The sequence below is a fragment of the Homo sapiens genome, chromosome 1 (genome assembly GCF_000001405.40).
Source record: "Homo sapiens chromosome 1, GRCh38.p14 Primary Assembly".
NCBI classification, from domain to species: domain Eukaryota; kingdom Metazoa; phylum Chordata; class Mammalia; order Primates; family Hominidae; genus Homo; species Homo sapiens.
Window position 1 is genome coordinate 28206016 of NC_000001.11, and position 19060 is coordinate 28225075.

Below are 19060 nucleotides of genomic sequence, written 5' to 3' on the forward strand. Positions count from 1 at the left end.
TCTACAAAAAATATTAAAAATAAAACATTAACCAGGTGTGGTGGCGCACACTTGTAGTCCCAGCTACTCAGAAGGCTGAGGTGGGAGGATCGCTTGAGCTCAGGAGGTCAAGGCTGCAGTGAGCCATGACTATGCCACTGCACTCCAGCCTGGACAACAGAGCAAGACTCTATCTCTTTTTTAAAAAAGTATATTATATGATAGTCTTACAATGATAGGAACAGAAGCTATTATTATTTATTATTATTGTTTTTGAAACAGGGTCTCAATCTGTCACCCAGGCTAGAGTGCAGTGGTGTGATCATAGCTCACTGCAGCCTCAACTCCTAAGCTGAAAAGATCCTCCTACTTCAGCCCCCAAAGCACTTGGATTATAGGTATGAGCCACCAGAGGTTATTATTAGAATGTATAATATCCACTAAGGTGGGAGGATCACTTGAGCCTAGGAGGTCAAGGCTGCAGTGAGTTAAGATCATGCCACTATATTCCAGCCGGGGTGACAAAGGGAGACCCTATCTCTAAAAAGAATTACAAAAAAATAAGTGAACGTAAGTGACCCAGCCCCTGTCACACTAAGTTAATGAAATCACAATGCCCTCCCTACCAGTTTTTAATTCTTTATTTTCAAGAGTTCTTAAGAACACAGCTTATGTTATTCTACCTTTAAATATTTTTCTCCAGATATAAAGTATTTTAAATAGACATGGAAGTACAAAAGTAATCTGTCATGCATATTTAATAGTGCCTAAATTCTAAAATCAGACACTGGAGCAAAGAGTGATATATGGAGAGAAAGGAAAATAAAGAAGTCCCTAAATCTCTGTGACTTCTCTTTTATCCTGTTACCTGCTAGACACTGCTCACTAAAAGCAATGCTTCAACCCCAGTCCCTAATAAAGACAAACATCAAAGGGATAAAGGAGTCTGTAATGAATAGCTCAGTATATTTAAAAGCTCCATACACGGGATAGACAGACACTGCGATTTTATATTTTTTATATTTCTCTTTTTCCAAATTTTCTATCATTAGCATGTGTTCTTTTATAATCAGGAAAAAAAAAAACAACTGAAAAAAATTGGGCCAGGTGCGGTGGTCCACGCCTGTAATCCCAGCACTTTGGGAGGCCGAGGAGGGCAGATCACTTGAGGTCAGGAGTTTGAGATCAGCCTGACCAACATGATGACATCCCGTCTCTATTAAAAATACAAAAATTAGCCAGGCTTGATGGCGGGCATCTGTAATCCCAGCTACTCAGGAGGCTAAGGCAGGAGAATCACTTGAACCTGGGAGGCAGAGGTTGCAGTGAGCTGAGATCGCACCACTGCTCTCTAGCCTGGGCAACAGAGTAAGACCCCGTCTCAAACAAATACATAAATAAATGTATATTTATATGTTTTAAGTTCAAATAAAATGTTTGTTGTTGTTGTTGTTGTTGTTGTTGTTTTAAGACAGAGTCTTGCTATGTCACCAGGCGGAGGTGCAGTGGCGCGATCTTGGCTCACTGCAATCTCTGCCTCCCAGGTTCAAGCAATTCTCCTGCCTCAGCCTCTCGGGTAGTTGGGATTACAGGCACGTGCCACCACGCCCAGATAATTTCTGTATTTTTAGTAGAGACGGGGTTTCACCATGTTGGCCCGGATGGTCTCGAACTCCTGATCTCATGATCCACCCGCCACGGCCTCCCAAATTTCTGGGATTACAGGCGTGAGCCACTGCGCCCAGCCAAATAAAATGTTTTTTTAAAAAATAAAAATTAGGCCGCGCACGGTGGCTCATGCCTGTAATCCCAACACTTTGGGAGGCCGAGGCGGGTGGATCACCTGAGGTCAGAAGTTCAAGACCAGCCTAGCCAACATGATGAAACCCCGTCTCTACTAAAAATACAAAAAAATTAGCCAGAGGCCGGGCAGGGTGGCTCATGCCTGTAGCCTGCAATCCCAGGACTTTGGGAGGCCAAGGCAGGCGGATCATCTGAGGTCAGGAGTTCGAGACCAGACTGACAAACATGGAGAAACCCCATCTCTACTAAAAATACAAAATTAACCGGGCATGGTGGTACATGCTGGTAATCCCAGCTACTTGGGAGGCTGAGGCAGAAGAATCGTTTGAACCCAGGAGGCAGAGGTTGCAGTGAGCCGAGATCGCGCCATTGCCCTCCAGCCTGGGCAACAAGAGTGAAACTCAGTCTCAAAAATAATAAATAAATAAATAAATAAATGTGAAATAGCATATATTCATCATTCTTTTGGCTTCTGTCTCTGTAACCCACCAATTCGTAGACACAATCACACAAGATACAGTGGCTTTTCCTATATTTAACTCACCAGCTCAGGATCATCCTCCTCTACAATTGTAGGTTTTCCTTCCTTCTTTAATTGTTTTTTTCGCTCTTTCACCTAAAAAGAATTTTTTTTCATCAAAAGACGAGCATCTGTGCTTTGAGAATATCCACTGGGCTGTACACATACAATATATTTAACTTTCTATAGGCACGGGTATAGCAAAAAGTTTTCATTAAAAAAAAAAAGAGCCCCTCCCCTCCCTCCTCAAAAGAACAACAGAATCAAGGAAAATTAGGAACCACAAGTCCTTTTTCTAATCTCATCTAAAATCCAATCTACCAGGAAGAATGAAAGATGAAAGGGGACCAACGGGAGGTTGTCCCCAACTCATCAGATCCAAAAAGTCTTTGAAACAGACTACTTATTTACCTTTCTTGGCTTGTGGTTATGTGTTTAGAGCAAAGCAAATATATCTGTCAAGTTTTAGAAGAAGCTACAGAATCTGTGGCATTATGTCCAAGTAGTTTTTCTGGCATTTCTATAACTGCATTCTTGATCACTTTCACCATGGAACCTCCTTAAACCACATATCATATTAACTGATACTTTTATCACATTGGCCACTACTGAGATAAAAAATAAATAAATAAATATACGAATTCATACAAGAATGACACTACTCCATGAACTAACCAGTCTATTATACCAGCAAAGGCCAAGTACCCTCTAAGCTCAGAAAGGCCCTACTGCCACCCTGTGGTCAGGAAGCCTAAGGATGACTTTCTTACAGGTGAAAGACATACGAAGCCACAATGATTTAAGGAGAAACTGTCAGGCACTTTCCCTATTTCTACCAGGATAGGGCCTACAAGTGCCATTTCCAACACATGACCCGCAGGATATAGTTATGGGCCCTTTGTCTCCTCTTCTTATCCATTTTCCTCACCGAAACTGGATTCATTATTATGGTTATAAAGTTGTCTCAGATTTCAAAGCTCTTCATGTGAAAAGTCATCCAATCACAATTGAAGCAGCTCTTACAAATGACCTCAAGATTCTTGCCCCAGCAAGTAAAAAGTTAAAAGACCTTTCTTACCTTGGGAAAGCCATACTGACATTTCCCACCACATTGGAGACTTATGTATGCCCTCAAGAGCAAACAAAAATAACACCAGCTACAACTCAGTTTCCTTCAACTGAGTTCTTCCCAACTCTGTTATTAAGATGGACATAAACCTCCTCCTATTTTAAAAAAAGTTTACGCCTATCCTCTTGCTAGCCTTTGCCAAGCCTTGTTGCAAACCCTTCACAGGGACAAGAATAAAAATCAAGAGTCAAGAGTCACAGGCTGCTCCACGTTTCCACTCTAAGAATGGGGTAAGTGGCAATATGTGATGAGAGGGAGAGAACAACCCTTTCTCCCCAACACAGGACTGGTAGGGAAAGAGGTAGGAGCAGTGTACCAGCTACTCCTCATCTGAGTTCTTCTCTTAGGGGTGAATTACAGCTTCAGGCACACACTATTCATGACCACCACAGCAAAGTGGTAGAGAGCACAGAAGTAGCCACAGGTTGTGCCAGTAGGCATTACTATGTTCATATGTACCCTTCTACAAGGTGCCCAAGGCTTGCTGATACTTCCTGTAAACACAGCAGCACTATAAATACTTACAGTGTGTTCCACGTATTCTTTTCCTGCCTGAATTACATCCAGGGCCCTCTTCTTTTGCTCCTGATCCAGTAGCAACTTGTAAGCTTTGTCCACAGCTAATGCAAAACATTGAAATTAACTGTTTCTGCAAACACCCTCTGAAAGTCTGAACTATACTCAGGCAGTGTAAATGGACTTGTGCTCTCTAAAGCATTCCCTACTTTAATTATTTACTGTCGTTAAACTAAGTTAAAAAAAACATTCAACTATAGCAATGACTTTCCTTAAGAGCCTTGGAAAAAATTAAATATATACTCAAGGCTAAATACACTACATCTGGATTTAATTCAGTGATAAAATTCTTTATGTTCAAAGAAAAAAAATGATCCTATGCAATAACAGTCTTTGTTGGCATATAAAAGTTTTAACAAAGCAAAGTTAAGGTCTACTTCTTAAACAACAACATTCTGCTTTGAAATGGCAACTGCTCTACTGAAAACCACAGCTTCTTGGTGACCAGAAGACAAAACTATAACAGTCTTTGCTTGATCTAGGACAAGGAACAGTTAGGCCCTGCCATTCACAATCTAATACTCAGAAGCAGGTAAATTTACAAATACCTTCAAAAGCCTTTTGTGCTCTGTCAGCATCATCTTGATTTTTGTCAGGATGCACCAAGATGGATAACTACAATAAGAGAAAAGTTGGGGTTGTCAATAAGGGAAACATTTACTAACTTCCAGCCTGCCCTGTCTCGTTACAACCAAAAGCTCTAAGGTCCTACGGCAAAAAGAGACTCTTAGCAAAAGCATTTAAAAAATTAACAAATCTCTTTAAATGCCCAGAAATACTGATCTTTAACAAAATTCAAGCACCAAAAGGTAAAGGTACAACTAGGAAACATTTCAGGTTTTAATCACAAAGTTGAGACCAAACATGCCAGGCACAGAGGCTCACGCCTGTCATCCCACCACTTTGGGAGGCTGAGGTGAGAGGATTACTTAAGCCCAGGACTTCGAGACCAGCCTGAGCAACATAGCAAGACCCTGTCTCTACAAAAAAAAAATTTTTTAATTACCCAGACATGGTGGTGGTCGCCTGTAGTCCAAGCTATTTAGGAAGCTAACGTGGGAGAATCACTTGAGCCTGGGAGGTTGAGATTGTGCCACTGCACTCCAGCCTGGGCAACAAAGTGAGACCCTGTCTCCAGGAAAAAACAAAAACAAAAACAAAAACAAAAACAAATGGAAGCCTAGCACTATGAAGATGTTGTAATAATTTGGGGGAGGAGGGAGACTGAAAGGTATCAAGTTCCTATTATGTTCCTTATGCAGGTTGAGCACCCAAAATCCAAAAGGCTCCAAAATCTGAAACTTTCTGAGTGCTAACATGATGCTCAAAGGAAACGCTCATTGGAACATTTTGAATTTTCGGATTAGGGATGCTCGACCATTATGCATTCTGCAAATATTCCAAAATCTGAAAAAATCTGAAATCTGAAATACTTCTAGTCTCAAGCATTTCAGATAAGGGATACTCAACCTGTACTAAGCACTAAGGTGGCTAAAGCAGGTATGAGACATCAACTCTCTCCTAAAAGAACTCCTAATCTAAAGCAGTTTCTCATTCTGCCTGTGCTCCAACCCTGTGAAGCTTCTGAAAAAGACAACATTCTAATTTCCACCCTCAGACCTTCTGAGTTAGTCTTTGGCATCTGCACTTTGTAAACCTCTACTAGACTGGGTTTCAGATGATCGTAGGGAATTAGCCCTTATTTTGTTAGGTGGGATAAGTGATTATGCAAGAAAATGTCCTTTTTTTGGGAAGGGTACAAGCTGAAGTATTTAGGGGTAAAGCATCATGGTTTATTGCAATTTACAATGATTCAGCCAAAAATATATAGTTAAATATATAGTCAGTGTCTGCCAGGAGCAGTGGCTCCCGCCTGTAATCCCAGCACTTTGGAAGGCTGAGGCTGGCAGATCACTTGAGGTCAGGAGTTCGAGACCAGCCTGGCCTACATGGTGAAACCCCGTCTCTACTAAAAATACAAAAATTTGGCAGGCACAGTGGCACACATCTATAATACCAGCTACTCAGGACGCTGAGGCAAGAGAATCACTTGAACTCAGGAGGTGGAGGCTGCCGTGAGCCAAGATCGCAACACTGTACTGCAACCTGGGTGACAGAGCCGGACTCCGTCTCAATAAATAAATAAATATATATATATATATATATATATATATATATATATATATATATATAAATGAAATTAACTATTCAATATAGATGGTGGATACATGAATATTCGTTGTTCTATTCTTTTTTTTTTTTTTTTTTTTGAGACAGAGTGTTGCTCTATCATCCAGGCTGGAGTGCAATGGTGCTATCCCAGCTCACTGCAGCCTCAATCTCCTGGACTCAAGTGATCCTCCCACCTCAGCCTTCTGAGTAGCTGGGACTACAGGCACGGCTAATTTTTGGCTTTTGCTGTTGTTGTTTTTCGTTTTTTGTAGAGACGGGGTTTCACCATGTTGCCCAGGCTGGTCACGAACTCCTGAGCTCAAGCAATCTGCCCGACTCAATGTCCCAAAATACTAGGATTACAGGCATGAGCCACTATGCTTGTCCATTCTTTTTTCTATATAAAATTTTTATAATAAACCAGCTAAAAAAAAAAGAACTTTCATAGGTAATTCAGATACTCACAGTTAAAAACCATGACATATTGTCAATTGACAGAAACCAACTAGTTGGAACCCAGGGAACTATGTCGGGGAATGAGAACAAATGGGAATCTAACGCTCCGTTCAGCATTACTGGAACCATTATGCTGGGTTCTAATTCCAACTTCAATCACCTACTAGCTATGAGACCTCGAGCAAATCACTTAACCTATCTCTGCCTCCGCTTCCTGCTCTGTAAATGAGATAATACTATGTACCTATATCTAATTGGGCTGATATAAGAATGAAACAAACAATGCAAGTAAAGAAATTAGCAGACTAACACACGCTGACAATAGTTAGCATATAGTGAGGATACATTATGTGCCAAGAGTTACTCTAAATGCCTTCTGTGTAATACATCATTTAAATTCTTACAACAAACTCATGGGATAGACACCATTATTACATTTTACAAACGGGGTAACAGACACGGAAAGGTTAAATGTAACTTGCTCAAGTTTACACTGCTTGTTAAGTGGTACAGTCAAGATTTAAACTAGTTGTATAGCTCCAATATGCACACTCTTAACTATCAGTCCATATTAATGATTTATTAAGAATTCTTAACTCTTATTATTTATGTAGCTACATAAAAAATTGTTTTGACTATGAACTTAAATGCTTATTAATATGGGAATGATTAGTAATGCATATTAGAAAATTTGAAATTTTAGAAAAAGGAAAAAGCTAAATATAAGTATAGAGTAGAGCTTAGGAAGGAAAAAAAAAAGCTATAAAGTTATATAATGGGATATGATTACGTAGACCAAGTTAAAAAACATCTTGGCTTAACTGTAGATCAGAAAATGACTATGAGTCAGCAATATGGGGAAAATTACTGTACTGAAGAAACAAGCACACCACTGGATATTAACAAGTATCTCATCAGAAGCTGAAAATTACATTCAGCTCTGGTCAGACCCTATTAAAATATGAAGTACATAAGACTATAAAGAAGCTAAGGAAAGTTTTTTTAAAAGACATGGAATATATAGAAAATCCAATTTGCAAAGGCAAATTATAGGGACTACGATTATTCAACTCAGAAAAAAAGGTAGCCAGGCACGGTGGCTCATGCCTGTAATCATGGCACTTTGAGAGGCTGAGGCCAGCAGATCGCTTGAGCCCAGAATTGAGACCAGCCTGGGCAACATGGCGAAACTCTGTCTCTACAAAAAATACAAAAATTATCTGAGCATGGTGATGCACACCTGTAGTCCCAGCTACTGGGGAGGTTGAGGAGGGAGGATTGCTTAAACTCAGGAGGCACAGGTTGCAGTGAGCCAAGATCACACCACTGTACTCCAGCCTAGGTGACAGAGTGAGACCCTGTCTCAAAAAATAATAATAATTTTTAAGAAAAAAAGGCTGGGGGGAGGGTTACTCAGCTGTCAAAACTGGAAGGATTTTTTTTTTAAGTTTACTTTAAAACTTTGTAGTTCCAGTTATTAAACCTACGAATGGGCAAGATTCAGAAGCTATAGATCTCCTTTCCTGGAGAACTTTCAAAAAGCACTCTTTATACCAGTTATCTCTTAGGTATTCATTTAAGTTGGCAAAAGATAAAATTACGGCCGGGTGCAGTGGCTCACACCGGTAATTCCTGCATTTTGGGGAGGCTGAAGCAGGTAGATCACTTGAGGTCAGGAGTTCGTCACCAGCCTGGCCAACATAGGGAAACTCTGTCTCTACCAAAATACAAAAATTAGCCGGGTGTGGTGGCATGCACTTGTAATACCAGCTACCTGGGAGGCTGAGGCAGGAGAACTGCTTGAACCCAGGAGGTGGAGGTTGCAGTGACCTGAGATCATGCCACTACACTCCAGCGTGGGCGACAAAGCAAGACTCTGTCTCGAAAAATAAGAATAAAAATAAAAGATAAAATTACAGACAAATGGAGTCTTAAAGATAAAAATGTGCTATGAATCATTTGATATGTTCCCTCCTAGAAGACAGGGGGTTTGGTAGTTACAACTCCATGCAAGCTCTATTATTCTACTTTATACTTATCCCTCTTAATTAAGGAGTTGCAGAGATTCTATTTGGATATAAAATTCATTCTATTCATAGGTAAGCTATGGTCATTAAATTATTTAAGATTTTATATATTATTATGAGCTTTTTTTTACAAAACAGTTACACAGCCTTAAAAAAAAGTTAAATTTTGGCCCAAACATATCAAGTCAATAATAGCAAGTGATAAAAGAATCATGTGCTTCATACATTTTCAAAAAGTTCAAACAGGGAAATAGTACTGTACCTGCCGAAACCTCTTTTTTATTTCTTCATCTGTAACTTCAGGATCTATCTGAAGAACCTGGAAGTATCAAAATCAAAACCATAAAAAAGGTGAAAATAAATTACATGTATATTTAAGAGTTGCTCAGTAATTATATATATTATAATCAGCATCTAGAATAGTACCCCATGTTCTAGAACACAGGCTGGCACACAGTTCTAGAAATTGCTAAAGAAATATGAATGATCAAATCAACAGAATAACAATTATATTGTCTTATGGTACTCAAATAACATAATGCTTATTTTCATCATAAAAATAATAATTTATTTTACACCCAGAGACATTTTTACATGAGAAAATTTTGCATTTCTCCTTCATTCATTAAAAGAGTTTAACTCCCCCTCCCTTTATTTTTGCAAATGTCGAGAAACCGTAATAACTCAAAAAAGAAAAAAATAGCCCAATGGACACTTTATAATTTACAAGGCCCAGTGGTTCTCAATCAGAGTGAATATTAGAATCACCTGTGGAAACCTGTGAGCAATGGCTGGCCCACTCTACGAAAGTCTGATTCCAACCCCATAGAGCAGGGGTAGGGCCAATAGGAGGAACAACTCTATTTTTTTTTTTTTTGAGATGGAGTCTCGCTCTTATTGCCCAGGCTGGAGTGCAATGGCGAGATCTCGGCTCACTGCAACCTCCACCTCCGCGGTTCAAGCGATTTTCCTGCCTAAGCCTCCTGAGTAGCTGGGATTACAGGCACGTGCCACCACACCTGGCTAATTTTGTAATTTTAGTAGACACAGGGTTTCTCCATGTTGGTCAGGCTGGTCTCAAACTCCAGACTTCAGGTGATCCGCCTGCCTCAGCCTCCCAAAGTGCTGGGATTACAGGTGTGAGCCACCGCGCCCAGCCTTAAGCAACACTTCTTTAAACAAATAATTTTTTTTTTTTTCGAGACAGTGTCTCACTTTGTTGCCCAGGCTGGAGTGCAGTGGCATAATCATAGGTCACTGCAGCCTCAAGCTCTGGGGCTCAAGTGGTCCTCTGGTCTCAGCCTCTTGAGCAACTAGGACTGTAAGTATGTGGAGCGCACAACCATGCCTGGTGACTTTTTAAAATGTTTTTAGAGATGGGGTCTCCCTGGCCGGGCGCAGTGGCTCACGCCTGTAATCCCAGTACTTTGGGAGGCCAAGGCAGGGAGATCACTTGAGGCTAGGAGATTGAGACGAGCCTGGCCAACATGGAGAAACCCCGTCTCTACTAAAAATACAATATTAGCCAGGCGTAGTGGCGCATGAAAATGAGAATTTTCAAGTCAGTGCGCCCCACTCTCATAACTTCCCAAGGAGAAAGGAACTGGGAAAGTCACTCAATAGGAAGAGCGAAGTCACGTAAGATTTACAGACGAGGGACTGTAACTGTACATACAAAAATATTCATAGGAAAACCACTAGTTCTGAGGAAAAGGAATCTCTAGGGGCAAACCAAAGTCCAACAAATCCCAGAGGATGCCCAAATAAAAGAAAGAACAGAAACTGTCCCACCCTCACAAAAAAAGCCTCTGATAAGATTATAGCTTACAACTAATCATGCCAAATGTAATTCATAAACCCTGATTGATTTTTTAAAAATAAATTTTGCTGTGTGTATTTGGGGATTACAACATGATGTTATGGGATATATACAGACAGTAAAATGGTTATAGTGGTTCTTGAGTTAAAAAAAAAACCTAAAATAGCTATAAAGGAGATTTTGGGGACAGCTGGGCCCATTTGCATGTGGACTGTATGCTGGATAAAGTTACTTGATGTTGTTTTCCTATGGCTAAAGTTTCCTAAGCTCTAATTTTATTACAGGCTTTTTTTGTGAAGGTGGGGCGATTTCTTTTTTTTTTTTTTTTTGAGACGGAGTTTTGCTCTTGTTGCCCAGGCTGGAGTGCAATGGTGTGATCTCGGCTCACTGCCACCTCCGCCTCCCAGGTTCAAGCGATTCTCCTGCCTCAGACTCTCGAGTAGCTGGGATTACAGGCATGCGCCACCACGCCCGGCTCATTTTGTATTTTTAGTAGAGATGGGGTTCCTCCATGTTAGTCAGGCTGGTCTTGAACTCCCAACTTCAGGTGATCCGCCTGCCTCGGCCTCCCAAAGTGCTGGAATTACAGGTGTGAGCCACCGCGCCTGGCCTTAAGCAACACTTCTTTAAACAAATAATTTTTTTTTTTTTTTGAGACAGTGTCTTACTTTATTACCCAGGCTGGAGTGCAGTGGCATAATCATAGGTCACTGCAGCCTCGAGCTCTGGGGCTCAAGTGGTCCTCTGGTCTCAGCCTCTTGAGCAACTAGGACTGTAAGTGCGTGGAGCACACAACCATGCCTGGTGACTTTTTTAAATGTTTTTAGAGATGGGGTCTCCCTGGCCAGGCACAGTGGCTCACGCTTGCAATCCCAGTACTTTGGGAGGCCAAGGCAGGGAGATCACTTGAGGCTAGGAGTTTGAGACAGGCCTGGCCAACATGGAGAAACCCCGTCTCTACTAAAAATACAAAATTAGCCGGGCATGGTGGCGCATGAAAATGAGAATTTTCAAGTCAGTGCGCCCCACTCTCATAACTTCCCAAGGAGAAAGGAATTGGGAAAGTCACTCAATAGGAAGAGCGAAGTCACGTAAGATTTACAGACGAGGGGCTGTAACTGTTCATACAAAAATATTCATAGGAAAACCACTAGTTCTGAGGAAAAGGAATCTCTAGGGGTAAACCAAAGTCCAACAAAACCCAGAGGACGTCCAAATAAATGAGAAAGAACAGAAATTGTCCCACCCTCACAAAAAAAGCCTCTGATGAGGTTATAGCTTACAACTAATCATGCCAAATGTAATTCATAAACCCTGATTGATTTCTTTTTTAAAAATAAATTTTGCTGTGTGTATTTGGGGATTACAACATGATGTTATGGGATATATACAGACAGTAAAATGGTTATAGTATAGTGGTTCTTTAGTTAAAAAAAAACTAAAATAGCTATAAAGGGGATTTTGGGGACAGTTGGGCCCATTTGCATGTGGACTGTATGCTGGATGAAGTTACTTGACGTTGTTTTCCTATGGCTAAAGTTTCCTAAGCTCTAATTTTATTAGAGGCTTTTTTCATGAAGGTCGGATGGTTTCTATTCTTTTTTTTTTTTTTTTTTGAGATGGAGTTTCGCTCTTGTTGCCCAGGCTAGAGTGCAATGGTGTGATCTTGGCTCACTGCAACCTCCGCCTCTGGGATTCAAGCGATTCTCCTGCCTCAGCCTCCTGAGTAGCTGGAATTACAGGCATGTGCCACCACGCCCGGCTCATTTTGTATTTTTAGTAGAGACGGGGTTTCTCCATGTTGGTCAGGCTGGTCTCGAACTCCCGACTTCAGGTGATCTGCCCACCTCAGCCTCCCAAAGTGCTGGGATTACAGGCGTGAGCCACCGCACCCAGCCTTAAGCAACACTTCTTTAAACAAATAATTTTTTTTTTTTTGAGACAGTGTCTCACTTTGTTGCCCAGGCTGGAGTGCAGTGGCATAATCATAGGTCACTGCAGCCTCGAGCTCTGGGGCTCAAGTGGTCCTCTGGTCTCAGCCTCTTGAGCAACTAGGACTGTAAGTGCGTGGAGCACACAACCATGCCTGGTGACTTTTTAAAATGTTTTTAGAGATGGGGTCTCCCTGGCCAGGCACAGTGGCTCACGCCTGTAATCCCAGTGATTTGGGAGGCCAAGGCAGGGAGATCACTTGAGGCTAGGAGTTTGAGACAGGCCTGGCCAACATGGAGAAACCCCGTCTCTACTAAAAATACAATATTAGCCAGGCATGGTGGTGCATGAAAATGAGAATTTTCATGTCAGTGTGCCCCACTCTCATAACTTCCCAAGGAGAAAGGAATTGGGAAAGTCACTCAATAGGAAGAGCAAAGTCACATAAGATTTACAGACGAGGGACTGTAACTGTTCAAACAAAAATATTCATAGGAAAACCACTAGTTCTGAGGAAAAGGAATCTCTAGGGGCAAACCAAAGTCCAACAAATCCCAGAAGGCGCCCAAATAAATGAGAAAGAACAGAAATTGTCCCACCCTCACAAAAAAAGCCTCTGATAAGATTATAGCTTACAACTAATCATGCCAAATGTAATTCATAAACCCTGGTTGATTTCTTTTTAAAAAATAAATTCTGCTGTGTGTATTTGGGGATTACAACATGATGTTATGGGATATATACAGACAGTAAAATGGTTATAGTGGTTCTTGAGTTAAAAAAAAAAACCCTAAAATTGGCCAGGTGTGGCGGCTCACGCCTGTAATCCCAGCACTTTGGGAGGCGGAGGCAGACAGATCACTAGGTCAGGAGATCGAGACAATCCTGGCTAACACGGTGAAACATCATCTCTACTAAAAATACAAAAAAATTAGCCAGGTGTGGTGGCGGGCGCCTGTGGTCCCAGCTACTCAGGAAGCTGAGGCAAGAGAATGGCATGAACCCGGGAGGCGGTGCTTGCAGTGAGCCGAGATCGTGCCACTGCACTCCAGCCTGGGCAACAGAGTGAGACTCTGTCTCAATAAATAAATAAATTAAACTAAAATAGCTATAAAGGAGATTTTGGGGACAGCTGGGCCCATTTGCATGTGGACTGTATGCTGGATAAAGTAACTTGATGTGGTTTTCCTATGGCTAAAGTTTCTTAAGCTCTAGTTTTATTAGAGGCTTTTTTTGTGAAGTTCGGACGATTTCTATTCTTTTTTTCTTTCTTTCTTGAGACAGAGTCTTGTTCTGTCAAGTGCAGTGGAGCAATCTCAGCTCACTTCAACCTCCGCCTCCTGGTTCAAGCAATTCTCCTGCCTCAGCCTCCTGAATAGCTGGGACTTCAGGTGTTTGCCACCATGCCCAGCTAATTTTTTGTATTTCAGTAGAGATGGGGTTTCACCATGTTGGCCAGGCTGGTCTCAAACTCCTGAACTCAGGCAATCTGCTCACCTCAGCCTCCCAAAGTGCTAGGATTACAGGCGTGAGCCACTGTGCCCGGCCTTTCTATTCTTTCTTAGTGTTATTTTCCAATGGGTGATAGTGTTGTGGTTACACGGAATTGTTCTTGTTTCGAGGAGATGCATGCTAAAGTATTTAGGCATTAAGTGTTAACAACACCTGGAGCTTACTTTCACCACATGATTGGGCAAAAAGGAGGAGAGTATATATACCTACATACACATACAAACACACACTCCAAAAGTTATTTTTCCAAGAGTTATATCAGAACAAATATTCACTGAGTGCCTTCAAAGCCAATCCAACTCCTCTTTTGTCTTTAAGAGCTGGAGGTGCCACACGTGGCATGGTGAAGACAATGGACTTTTACCTGCGGCCGGTCCTCTTTGAAGCCAGCTTTATACATTCAGTACCAACTTGTAGAGCACAAAAATTTTCTAAGATAGCTAGATACTGTGCTCACTACTTTTCTTAGTCTGTTTTGTGTTGCCAGAACAGAATCCCATACAGTGGGCACTTTATAAAGAAAAGAAATGTATTTCTTATACTTCTGTAGGCTGGGAAGTTCAAGGTTGAGTGGCCGTCATCAGGTAAGGGCAAGAGGGGGCTAAACTCACATATGTAACAAGTCTATTCTTGAGATAACTAATCCACTCCCAAGATGAGGACATTAATCCAATTGTGAGGGCAGAGACCTAATCACCTCTTATTAGGCCCTACCCTGAAAAGCTGTTGCATTGGGATTAAATTTCTAACACATGAATTTGGGGGACACATTCTAACCACAGCTCTACTGTCCTCACAGAATTTAAGAATTACTGTTCTCACAGTAGATAAGGGAGAGACAAGTAACAAGTAATTCTGACAAAAATGATAAATGCCTTATTACCAACATGGCTCCAAGCACACAGGTCTGTTCAGATTCTTGGAAGGTTTTTCTGAACTCCTGTTGCGTCTCAGGCTTTTAGGATATGGAGGGAGAGACCCACAGTTTTGAACCTCAGGGAGCTAATTAATCATCACACAGAAACAAAAATGCTTAACTGTTGCATTCAGATAAGTTCCTGAACTCAAAATGTAACAGCCATCTCCTTTAGGATCTTCTGCTTGAAAAAGGAATCCAGGCTGGGCGCGGTGGCTCACGCCTGTAATCCCAGCACTTTGGGAGGCTGAGGCGGGTGGATCACGAGGTCAGGAGATCGAGACCATCCTGGCTAACATAGTGAAACCCCGTCTCTATGAAAAATACAAAAAATTAGCCGGGCGTGGTGGCGGGCGCCTGTAGTCCCAGCTACTCGGGAGACTGAGACAGGAGAATTGCTTGAACCCGGGAGGCGGAGGTTGCAGTAAGCCGAGATCGTGCCCCTGCACTCCAGCCTGGGCAACAAGAAGGAAACTCTGTCTCAAAAAGGGAAAAAGAGAAAGAAACAAAGAAAGAAAGAACAGTCAGGGAGTCCTGCCCACTCAAACACAATCTTGCAGCTTTCAGAGCGTGCAAACTCACCATATCGTCACACATCTAAACATACTTCCTATAGTGAGAACAAAGGCTACAGGGCAATGAGTTCCACTTTCAGAACTACAATAACTAATAGGGCACTAAAATCCTAGCGTTTCACACTGATGCCCAACAATCTGTCCCTTCTCATCCATCAGGTCCCCACAGGAGATACTAATTACCTTAACAAAAAATAAATTATATGGTCATATGTTCCCTTTCATGGTACTATGCTCGATTTTAAAGTATGGCTAGATAGAAAGAACATACCATAAATTCTTTATCATCTCTCCAGCAAATCATCTTCCCCTAGGCCCTCCCCAAAATCATATCAAAAGTACTCTTCAATATTTATACATCCATGTTTATAGCAACACTTTTCTCAATAGCTAAGATGTAGAACAACCCATGTCCATCAGCGGATGAATGAATAGGCAAAATGTGGTATATCCATACAACAGATTACCATTCAGCCTTAAAAAGAAGGAAATTCTACAATATGCTACAACATTGAAGAACCCAAGACATTGTACTAGATGAAATAAGCCAGTCACGAAAAGGCAAACACTATGATTCCTTTTATATGAGGTACTTGGTCAAAGTCATAGAGACAAAAAGTAGAATGGTGGTTACCAGGGGCTGGGGAGGGAGGAATGCGGAATTATTGTTTAATGGGTATACAATTTCAGTTTTACAAGATGAAAAGAGTTATGAGGATGGATAATAGTAATGGTTGGACAACACTATGAGTGTATTTAAAAACAATGAACTGGCTGGGCACAGTGGCTCACACCTGTAATCCCAGCACTTTGGGAGGCTGAGGCGGGTGGATCACCTGAGGTCAGGCGTTCGAGACCAGCCTGACTAACATGGTGAAACCCCATCTCTACCAAAAATACAAAAATTAGCCGGATGTGGTGGCATGCACCTGTAGTCCCAGCTACTCAGGAGGCTGAGACAGGAGAATTGCTTGAATCCAGGTGGCGGAGGTTGCAGTAAGCCGAGATCACGCCACTACACTCCAGCCTGGGTGATAAAGCAAGACTCCATCTCAAAAAAAAAAAAAAAAAAAAAATGAACTGGTTAAGATGGTAAATTTTATGTTATGTGTATTTTACAATTTTAAAAATTGAAAAAAAAAGTAATCTTCAAGCTTTTTATCTCCCCCTTCCCTTCCTAAGCAATAAATCCAAATCCATTAAGTGGGGTCAGGCAAAACAGACGTCTACTCTGGGTGGGAGTCACATGGCCCAGAGCACAGTGTCAGAGCCCACCTGGAACAAGGAAGGCAGTGACCACACAGAAAGTAGTGGCTAGTCACAGGGTGCTGAAGCCCAAATGGGGTGAGAAGGGCATCCACAGAGAAGGACAGCCTAACATGGTGTACAAAGAAGTTCAGAAAGGCATCCCCATAGACAGGGAGGCCAGCACAGGAACATCAGAACCTAAGCAGGGGGAAAATGTCAGCATGGGAGGGCAGCCAGCGCAGGATATCAGGGCCCAAGAGGGATGAGGAAAGCATCCGTGTGGAAGTAGAATCCAACACAGGGTGTCTGAGACCAAGCAAGGTACGGAGGGTGTCCACAGGGGAAGGTAGCCTGGCACAGGGTACAAGAACCCAAGCAAGGACATTCCCACAAAGGGCAGCCAAGCATGGGGTATGGAAGCCTGGTATGGTGAGAAGGGTGTCCAAGTAGTAGGGCATCCAGTGTGAAAAGGCAGCCCAACACAAGGTTCAGAGCCCAAAAAATATGAAAAGAGACATGGTATGTGGAGCCAGACCCCGAGTAAGAGGAGAAAGGTGTTCATGGAAGAAGGTGGCTTGACGGAGGATGTCAAAGCCAGAGCAGGGTAGGGAAGATGCCTACTCAGCGGGGAGGATCAGTGTGGGATGCTGGAGCCCATGATCAGTGAAAAGGGCCCCCAGCAGGAAGAGAGCAGGCTCAGAAAGCCAGAGAGCCACATGGAAGGGTGGCCTGACATGGGAGTTCAGAGCCCAGGTGTGGTGAGAAAGGTTTTTGCATAGACATATCCTGGTGCTGGTATCAGAGTACAGCGGGGTGAGGAGAGCATTCAGAGGGAAGGAGTGGCAGTGGGAAGTTAGTTGCATACAGAGAGATCAATTAAGTAAATGTAGATATTAAATTCTGTAGGAGCCAGCGCCAGGTGCACTGGCTGTAATGCTATAATCAATCCCAGTACTTTGGGAGGCCAAGGGAGGATCATTTGAGGCCAAGAGTTTGTGATCAACCTGGGCAACATAGTGAGACCTTGTCTTTACAAAAAAAAAAAAAAGAAAAAAAGAATAATAATAAAGAAAAGATAGTGGGAACCAGGTTTCTAACTATTAGAATAAATCCTGTGGGGTTGGACTGAAAATGGATGTTGGGTGTAAACATATATGTACACACACAAACACACAGACTCCAGGGTCTGTAAGCTGTGATATCCCAACAGCAATGAATCTACCTAGCATTCAAATCTTGATTTCTATATATCATTCTCTGCCAAAAGGAACCAGCGCTCCTTGGTGAAATGGTTAATTCCAGGCTGGGTCAGGAAAAACACAAAAGTGCCTACTAATCAAAGAATGATGAAGACATATGAAAGACACAGGAGCTAGATTGAAAGGTAACCCACTGGCCAAACTTGAGACAATCTGAGCATCAAAATAAACATAAAATTACAACGTACTGAATAAAATAGAAAAACCTAAGTCCATACTGGCAAATAAATGAACTAAAATTTTGATATGGACAGGATATTTACCAAGTTTCAAAGCACCTCCACATAAAATACTTATTCATTACAAAGGGGAAAAATAGTAACCTCATGACACTTCTTTTTATTTTTGAGATGGAGTCTCACTCTGTCGCCCAGGCTGGAGTGCAATGGTGCAATCTCGGCTCACTGCAACCTCTGCCTCCCAGGTTCAAGCAATTCTCCTGCCTCAGCCTCCCAAGTAGCTGGGATTACAGGGGCACTCCATCACACCCGGTTAATTTTTTTATTTTTAGTAGAGACAGGGTTTCACCATGTTAGCCAAGCTGGTCTTGAACTCCTGACCTCAAGTGATCTGCCCGCCTCAGCCTCCCAAAGTGTTGGAATTACAGGTGTGAGCCACCGCGCCTGGCCAGGGAGACCCCATCTTACAAAACAAAACAAACACGCCAGGTGTGGTGGCTCACGCCTGAAATCCCAGCACTTTTTGGGAGGCTGAGGAGGGCGGATCATGAGGTCAGGAGTTCGAGACAAGCCTGGCCAGCTTGGTGAAACCCCATCTCTACTAAAAATACAAAAAATTAGCAGGGCATGGTGGCACGCTCCTGTAATCCCAGCAACCAGGGAGGCTGAGTCAGGAGAATCACTTGAACCCGTGAGGCGGAGGTTGCAGTGAACCGATATTGCGCCACTGCACTCCAGTCTGGGCAGTGGAGTGAGACTCTGTCACGAAACAAACAAACAAACCAAAGAGCCAAACACAGTGGCTCACACCTTGAATCCCAGTATTTTGAAAATCTGAGGTAGGAGGATCAATTGAGCCCAGAGCCCAGGAGTTCGAGGTTGCAGTGAGCTATACAGTGAGCGGAGTGATAGAGAGGCCCTGAAAAACACCTTTTTGGGACAATTAGTAAAACCTGAA

At 42.2% G+C, this 19060-nt stretch overlaps 1 protein-coding gene across 2 annotated transcripts in view; it reads right to left on the bottom strand.

Moving 5' to 3' along the window:
* DNAJC8 (DnaJ heat shock protein family (Hsp40) member C8) overlaps window positions 1-19060 on the bottom strand; it is a 32752-nt gene that overhangs the window by 5738 nt on the left and 7954 nt on the right. For both annotated transcript variants that reach the window (NR_159454.1, NM_014280.3), the window contains 4 exons: window positions 8925-8981; window positions 4556-4622; window positions 3957-4051; window positions 2327-2398 (listed from right to left, as the gene is read on the bottom strand). Coding sequence is in view for 1 of the 2 variants with exons in the window: in NM_014280.3 (NP_055095.2) it covers window positions 2327-2398; window positions 3957-4051; window positions 4556-4622; window positions 8925-8981 (291 nt within the window). In the remaining variant the exon portion in view is untranslated. The remainder of the gene's footprint in view (window positions 1-2326; window positions 2399-3956; window positions 4052-4555; window positions 4623-8924; window positions 8982-19060) is intronic.